The 8,467-nt window shown below is 40.4% G+C and overlaps 2 annotated features.

Annotated features, from left to right (window-relative positions):
* Positions 3,208-3,820: an enhancer, noted in NCBI's record as "H3K27ac-H3K4me1 hESC enhancer chr18:37773350-37773962 (GRCh37/hg19 assembly coordinates)". NCBI's record gives its function as "activates a minimal SCP1, AML or CMV promoter by ChIP-STARR-seq in naive H9 embryonic stem cells {active_cell/tissue: H9 hESC(naive)}" and the evidence as "EXISTENCE:reporter gene assay evidence [ECO:0000049][PMID:30033119]".
* Positions 3,821-4,434: an enhancer, noted in NCBI's record as "H3K27ac-H3K4me1 hESC enhancer chr18:37772736-37773349 (GRCh37/hg19 assembly coordinates)". NCBI's record gives its function as "activates a minimal SCP1, AML or CMV promoter by ChIP-STARR-seq in naive and primed H9 embryonic stem cells {active_cell/tissue: H9 hESC(naive and primed)}" and the evidence as "EXISTENCE:reporter gene assay evidence [ECO:0000049][PMID:30033119]".

The raw sequence follows: 8,467 nt of genomic DNA, 5'->3' as shown, positions 1-8,467 counted from the left end.
AAGCATCCTGAGTAATTCAACAATCTACAAACAAGTTAAGGATATCACTGCATTGTTAGTTGTGCCTTCACATTTCTTTTGTTGAATGGATGGTCTACTTCCCTTCAATATTCTAAGCCAACCCTTCTGTTAACATTTTATTCAAGTCAACCTCTGTCCCAGAAGTCTACAAGATCCAGAAAAAAATGGTATCACATCTGACAGCCCTTTCTTTAAAACAACATAAGCCCATCCTCTACCAAATTTTAATTGAGTGCACTTGGCAATTAGCAAATGTTGTGTGATGATGGTGATGAAGACAGGTGATATAAGTTGGATTTCTGCCCCTTCCAAACCTCTTATCAAGCTATGATCCCCAGCATTGGAGGTAGGGCCTCATTGAAGGTGTTTGGGTCATGAGGGTGGATCCCTCATTAATGACTTGGTGCCCTCCCTCCAATAATGAGTGAGTTCTCATTCTATTTGTTCACATGAGAGCTGGCCATTTAAAAGAGCCTGGCATAGCCCTCGCTTCCCCTCAACATGTGACATGCCAAATCCCTTGCCCCTTCCACTATGTTTGGAAGCTCCCAGAGGCCCTCACCAGAAGCAGCTACTAGTGCCATGCTTTTTGTGCAGCCTTCAGAACAATGAGGCAAATACATCTCTTCTCTTTATAAATTACCCAGCCTCAGGTATTCCTTTATAGCAATGCAAAATGGACTAAACACAGTCCAGAAAACATCAATATTTGAATTTTTATATTAAAATAATCACAAATCATCATATCATATATTTGATCAAATAACTCACTGTTTTTGTCAGCTAGATAATAGTGTGTGTATATGTTTGTGTGTGTGTGTGTGATATAATGCTTTCCCCTTGTCTTTTGATGCTTACACTCTAATATACAAATCTCTATAAATGTACTTGGAAAGACTCTACATAGGGCATCGACTCTGGCAGGATTTCAGAACTCTTCCATTAAAAATAAATAAAATTCTAGAAATTTTATTTAAAATGTGAACTTTGGAATCTGTCATGGAAATGACAAGAAAATTAGTGTTCCTAAGTGTCTGGGCAGAGAATGGGAAACCAGAAAGTGAAGTGAGCTCTACAGCTGACTCTTGCTGGGGAGTATCTGCCTGCCATGGCCAGGAGCTAATTTAGCTCAAGCCCTTTTGTACTCTGCTATGCTTATTATACTAATAAGTTCTATATGGAAAAAAGACAAGGTGCTAGAAAAGAGAATGAGAAAGTTATTAAAGATTGGACAAGCAGTAATACAGGAATGGTATCTCCAAGGAAGTGTTTTTCAAGGAGACCTAAGAGATGAGATAATACAACACAGCCTGAGAAGGCATTAATGTGAATTTAAGGGAGCAATATCTGTGAAGGCCAATTGTTGGAAAAAGAAATGATACCTTAGAGCAACTGAAAGAAGGTCATGTCAATAACACCTTTGAAGTGAAAGAAAGTAAGTTGGGTAGAGGTTGGTCACGCAGTTATGAGTCAAACACATGCAGTATAGAGTTCTGGCAATTAAAATAAATTTCTATACACAGTATAGTCATTAATGGCTTTTCACCAGAGAGGTAGCATAATTTTTTTTGTTAGTTTTAAAATTGTTACTTGTTGCTGCTTTTGTTCATGTGGGTTTTATCTATCAGAAAGTAATGTTGAGACAAAATTAAATATTTGTTAATTTATTTTATTTTTGTCTTTTTCTCTTTTTGTGGAGAATGGGGTCTTGCTATGTTGCCCAGGCAGGTCTTGAACTCCTGGGCTGAAGCTCTGCTCCCTCCTCAGCTTCCCTAAGTTCTGTATTACAGGTGTGACCCACTGCACCCAGCCATTAATTTATTTTAAAGAAAAATGTAAAATAACCAATTAAATGTTAATGTCAGTAGCATATTTTTCTGAAAATAATTATTTAAAAAATCATGTTAGAAGAAATAGAAGAAATAGTTTCTTAGGCCATTTTTGCTTTGCTATAAAGAAATATCTGAGGCTGGGTAATTTATAAAGAAAAGACTTTTAATTAGCTCATGGTTCTGCAGGCTTTAGATGGCATCTGCTCAGCTTCCAGAGAGGCCTCAGGAAGCTTACGATCATGGAGGAAGGTTAAATGGGATCATGCAAGTCACACAGCAAAAGCAGGAGCAAGCAAGAGAGACTTGCGGGGGAGGTGTCACACACTTTTAAGTGACCATATCTCAGAAGAACTCACTATTACAGAGACAGGACCAAGTCATGCAGGATTTGCTCTCATAATCCAAACATTTCCTACCAGGCCCCAACTCCAACCTTTGGGACTACAATTCCAAATGAGATTTGTGCAGGGACAAATATCCAAACTATGTCAAATAGTATTATTGCTTTGAATTTTTGAAAATTTATTTGATGACTGATTGAATAGAAGATAGCTAGGTTCTCATGTGTGTATCTGCCTTTAATCTGATGCAGTATCACAAATCATGTAGCCTTTGGAAAACTCCACCATAGGCTCATCAGAAAAGTGTGAGTTAAAAAGACAAATGATGTCTTAGTTTTATTATGAAAATAGTTTTGACCTTGCTGACTTTCTGAAAGGACCTTTGGAATCCCCGGAAGATCCTGGGCCACACCCTGAGGACTGCTAAGCTAGATGGAACACATACAAGTTGGGAATTTAAAGGCCTTCGCAATCTATATTCTTTCAAATATATCTTCTGCTTGTCAAAATCTTCCTCCAAGACAAGCAGAAGCCAAGGCTATTGTATCTATATGGAAAATGAAGCTTAAAACAAGACTTACGCTAAGACCAGAACATAGAGTTAAAGCTAACTTGACGTACAGTATTCATGGATAAAAGAGAAATAAACTGCTAGATGTCAGTCCTACAGAGGCATTGGTCTCCACAGGACATCAGGCTACAAAAAATAAATAAGAAGCCAGGGGCTTAGGTTTCAGATAGGTGAGGGAGAGGCTGACCATCCCCCTGATAATTTTCAAAAAGTAAGATGAGAGAAATTTCCTGCACTGGAGAAGAGTCCCTGCAGAGCCGCAGGGACTTTAGTAAATATTTGCAGCACAGTTATAATTGGCAGGGAAGATATTTTAAGGACAATTGTATGTCAAAGTATGTATCCTTAAAAAATTCAGTAAGAAAAATATCAACATTACAAACAAAAGCAACAGCAAAAACCAAAACAGGAGAGCCAACCAATACAAATAGGAAATAAACTCATAAGCTTATTAGTAAACACAAACTGTGAAATCACACGAGTCCGTGTCCACATTTCACCCATCATATTGACAACGTTCAATCACCTGAAAATACAGCTAGTTATAACATAAGCATTTTAATACACTGGTGGCGGGAGTTCCAAATTTTGCTTTTCTAGAATGAAACTTGGCTGACTGTCACAAACTTACTTCAAGAATCTCTACTTCCAAGAAGGTTACCCAAAGAAGGCTTAAAATACATTGTCAAAATTTTATATATGTATATTAAATAAAAAACTTGTGAGTCCTCATCCTGGCTAACACGGTGAAACCCCATGTCTACTAAAAATTCAAAAAATTAGGGGAGGAGCCAAGATGGCCGAATAGGAACAGCTCCGGTCTACAGCTCCCAGCGTGAGCGATGCAGAAGACGGGTGATTTCTGCATTTCCATCTGAGGTACCGGGTGCATCTCACTAGGGAGTGCCAGACAGTGGGCGCAGGCCAGTGGGTGCGCGCACCGTGTGCGAGCCGAAGCAGGGCGAGGCATTGCCTCACCTGGGAAGCACAAGGGGCCAGGGAGTTCCCTTTCCGAGTCAAAGAAAGGGGTGACGGACGCACCTGGAAAATCGGGTCACTCCCACCCGAATATTGCACTTTTCAGACCGGCTTAAAAAACGGCGCACCACGAGACTATATCCCACACCTGGCTCGGAGGGTCCTACGCCCACGGAGTCTCACTGATTGCTAGCACAGCAGTCTGAGATCAAACTGCAAGGCGGCAGCGAGGCTGGGGGAGGGGCGCCCGCCATTGCCCAGTCTTGCTTAGGAAAACAAAGCAGCTGGGAAGCTCAAACTGGGTGGAGCCCACCACAGCTCAAGGAGGCCTGCCTGCCACTGTAGGCCCCACCTCTGGGGGCAGGGCACAGACAAACAAAAAGACAGCAGTAACCTCCGCAGACTTAAATGTCCCTGTCTGACAGCTTTGAAGAGAGCAGTGGTTCTCCCAGCACGCAGATGGAGATCTGAGAACCGGCAGACTGCCTCCACAAGTGGGTCCCTGACCCCTGACCCCCGAGCAGCCTAACTGGGAGGCACCCCCCAGCAGGGGCACACTGACAGGGTACTCCAACAGACCTGCAACTGAAGGTGCTGTCTGTTAGAAGGAAAACTAACAAACAGAAAGGACATCCACACCGAAAACCCATCTGTACATCACCATCATCAAAGACCAAAAGTAGATAAAACCACAAAGATGGGGAAAAAACAGAACAGAAAAACTGGAAACTCTAAAACGCAGAGCGTCTCTCCTCCTCCAAAGGAACGCAGTTCCTCACCAGCAACGGAACAAAGCTGGATGGAGAATGACTTTGACGAGCTGAGAGGAGAAGGCTTCAGATGATCAAATTACTCTGAGCTACGGGAGGACATTCAAACCAAAGGCAAAGAAGTTGAAAACTTTGAAAAAAATTTAGAAGAATGTATAACTAGAATAACCAATACAGAGTAGTGCTTAAAGGAGCTGATGGAGCTGAAAACCAAGGCTCGAGAACTACGTGAAGAATGCAGAAGCCTCAGGAGCCAATGCGATCAACTGGAAGAAAGGGTATCAGCAATGGAAGATGAAATGAATGAAATGAAGTGAGAAGGGAAATTTAGAGAAAAAAGAATAAAAAGAAATGAGCAAAGCCTCCAAGAAATATGGGATTATGTGAAAAGACCAAATCTACGTCTGATTGGTGTACCTGAAAGTGATGGGGAGAATGGAACCAAGTTGGAAAACACTCTGCAGGATATTATCCAGGAGAACTTCCCCAATCTAGCAAGGCAGGCCAACGTTCAGATTCAGGAAATACAGAGAACGCCACAAAGATACTCCTCAAGAAGAGCAACTCCAAGACACATAATTGTCAGACTCACCGAAGTTGAAATGAAGGAAAAAATGTTAAGGGCAGCCAGAGAGAAAGGTCGGGTTACCCTCAAAGGGAAGCCCATCAGACTAACAGCAGATCTCTCGGCAGAAACCCTACAAGCCAGAAGAGAGTGGGGGCCAATATTCAACATTCTTAAAGAAAAGAATTTTCAACCCAGAATTTCATATCCAGCCAAACTAAGCTTCATAAGTGAAGGAGAAATAAAATACTTTACAGACAAGCAAATGCTGAGAGATTTTATTACCACCAGGCCTGCCCTAAAAGAGCTCCTGAAGGAAGCGCTAAACATGGAAAGGAACAACCGGTACCAGCCGCTGCAAAATCATGACAAAATGTAAAGACCATCGAGACTAGGAAGAAACTGCATCAACAAACGAGCAAAATCACCAGCTAACATCATAATGACAGGATCAAATTCACACATAAAAATATTTACTTTAAATGTAAATGGACTAAATTCTCCAATTAAAAGACACAGACTGGAAAATTGGATAAAGAGTCAAGATCCATCAGTGTGCTGTATTCAGGAAACCCATCTCACGTGCAGAGACACACATACGCTCAAAATAAAAGGATGGAGGAAGATCTACCAAGCCAATGGAAAACAAAAAAAGGCAGGGGTTGCAATCCTAGTCTCTGATAAAACAGACTTTAAACCAACAAAGATCAAAAGAGACAAAGAAGGCCATTACATAATGGTAAAGGGACCAATTCAACAAGAAGAGCTAACTATCCTAAATATATATGCACCCAATACAGGAGCACGAAGATTCATAAAGCAAGTCCTCAGTGACCTACAAAGAGACTTAGTCTCCCACACATTAATAATGGGAGACTTTAGCACCCCACTGTCAACATTAGACAGATCAACGAGACAGAAAGTCAACAAGAATACCCAGGAATTGAACTCAGCTCTGCACCAAGCGGATCTAATAGACATCTACAGAACTCTCGACCCCAAATCAACAGAATATACATTTTTTTCAGCACCACACCACACCTATTCCAAAATTGACCACATAGTTGGAAGTAAAGCTCTCCTCAGCAAATGTAAAAGAACAGAAATTATAACAAACTATCTCTCAGACCACAGTGCAATCAAACTAGAACTCAGGATTAAGAAGCTCACTCAAAGCCACTCAACTACATGGAAACTGAACAACCTGCTCCTGAATGACTACTGGGTACATAACGAAATGAAGGCAGAAATAAAGATGTTCTTTGAAACCAATGAGAACAAAGACACAACATACCAGAATCTCTGGGACGCATTCAAAGCAGTGTGTAGAGGGAAATTTATAGCACTATATGCCCACAAGAGAAAGCAGGAAAGATCCAAAATTGACACCCTAACATCACAATTAAAAGAACTAGAAAAGCAAGAGCAAACACATTCAAAAGCTAGCAGAAGGCAAGAAATAACTAAAATCAGAGCAGAAGTGAAGGAAATAGAGACACAAAAAACCCTTGAAAAAATCAATGAATCCAGGAGCTGGTTTTCTGAAAGGATCAACAAAATTGATAGACCCCTAGCAAGACTAATAAAGAAAAAAAGAGAGAAGAATCAAATAGACACAATAAAAAATGATAAAGGGGATATCACCACCGATCCCACAGAAATACAAACTACCATCAGAGAATACTATAAACACCTCTACGCAAATAAACTAGAAAATCTAGAAGAAATGGATAAATTCCTCGACACATACACCCTCCCAAGACTAAACCAGGAAGAAGTTGAATCTCTGAATAGACCAATAACAGGAGCTGAAATTGTGGCAATAATCAATAGTTTACCAACCAAAAAGAGTCCAGGACCAGATGGATTCACAGCCGAATTCTACCAGAGGTACAAGGAGGAACTGGTACCATTCCTTCTGAAACTATTCCAATCAATAGAAAAAGACGGAATCCTCCCTAACTCATTTTATGAGGCCAGCATCATTCTGATACCAAAGCCGGGCAGAGACACAACCAAAAAAGAGAATTTTAGACCAATATCCTTGATGAACATTGATGCAAAAATCCTCAATAAAATACTGGCAAACCGAATCCAGCAGCACATCAAAAAGCTTATCCACCATGATCAAGTGGGCTTCATCCCTGGGATGCAAGGCTGGTTCAATATACGTAAATCAATAAATGTAATCCAGCATATAAACAGAGCCAAAGACAAAAACCACATGATTATCTCAATAGATGCAGAAAAAGCCTTTGACAAAATTCAACAACCCTTCATGCTAAAAACTCTCAATAAATTAGGTATTGATGGGACATATTTCAAAATAGTAAGAGCTATCTATGACAAACCCACAGCCAATATCATACTGAATGGGGAAAAAATGGAAGCATTCCCTTTGAAAACAGGCACAAGACAGGGATGCCCTCTCTCACCACTCCTATTCAACATAGTGTTGGAAGTTCTGGCCAGGGCAATTAGGCAGGAGAAGGAAATAAAGGGTATTCAATTAGGAAAAGAGGAAGTCAAATTGTCCCTGTTTGCAGACGACATGATTGTATATCTAGAAAACTCCATTGTCTCAGCCCAAAATCTCCTTAAGCTGATAAGCAACTTCAGCAAAGTCTCAGGATACAAAATCAATGTACAAAAATCACAAGCATTCTTATACACCAACAACAGACAAACAGAGAGCCAAATCATGTGTGAACTCCCATTCACAATTGTTTCAAAGAGAATAAAATACCTAGGAATCCAACTTACAAGGGATGTGAAGGACCTCTTCAAGGAGAACTACAAACCACTGCTCAAGGAAATAAAAGAGGATACAAACAAATGGAAGAACATTCCATGCTTATGGGTAGGAAGAATCAATATCGTGAAAATGGCCATACTGCCCAAGGTAATTTACAGATTCAATGCCATCCCCATCAAGCTACCAATGACTTTCTTCACAGAATTGGAAAAAACTACTTTAAAGTTCATATGGAACCAAAAAAGAGCCCGCATCGCCAAGTCAATCCTAAGCCAAAAAAACAAAGCTGGAGGAATCACACTACCTGACTTCAAACTATACTACAAGGCTACAGTAACCAAAACAGCATGGTACTGGTACCAAAACAGAGATATAGATCAATGGAACAGAACAGAGCCCTCAGAAATAACACCGCATACCTACAACTATCTGATCTTTGACAAACCTGAGAAAAACAAGCAATGGGGAAAGGATTCCCTATTTAATAAATGGTGCTGGGAAAACTGGCTAGCCATATGTAGGAAGCTGAAACTGGATCCCTTCCTTACACCTTATACAAAAATCAATTCAAGATGGATTAAAGATTTAAACGTTAGACCTAAAACCATAAAAACCCTAGAAGAAAACCTAGGCA

The sequence above is a fragment of the Homo sapiens genome, chromosome 18 (genome assembly GCF_000001405.40).
Source record: "Homo sapiens chromosome 18, GRCh38.p14 Primary Assembly".
NCBI classification, from domain to species: Eukaryota; Metazoa; Chordata; class Mammalia; order Primates; family Hominidae; genus Homo; species Homo sapiens.
This window is presented reverse-complemented; position numbering and strand designations above follow the sequence as displayed.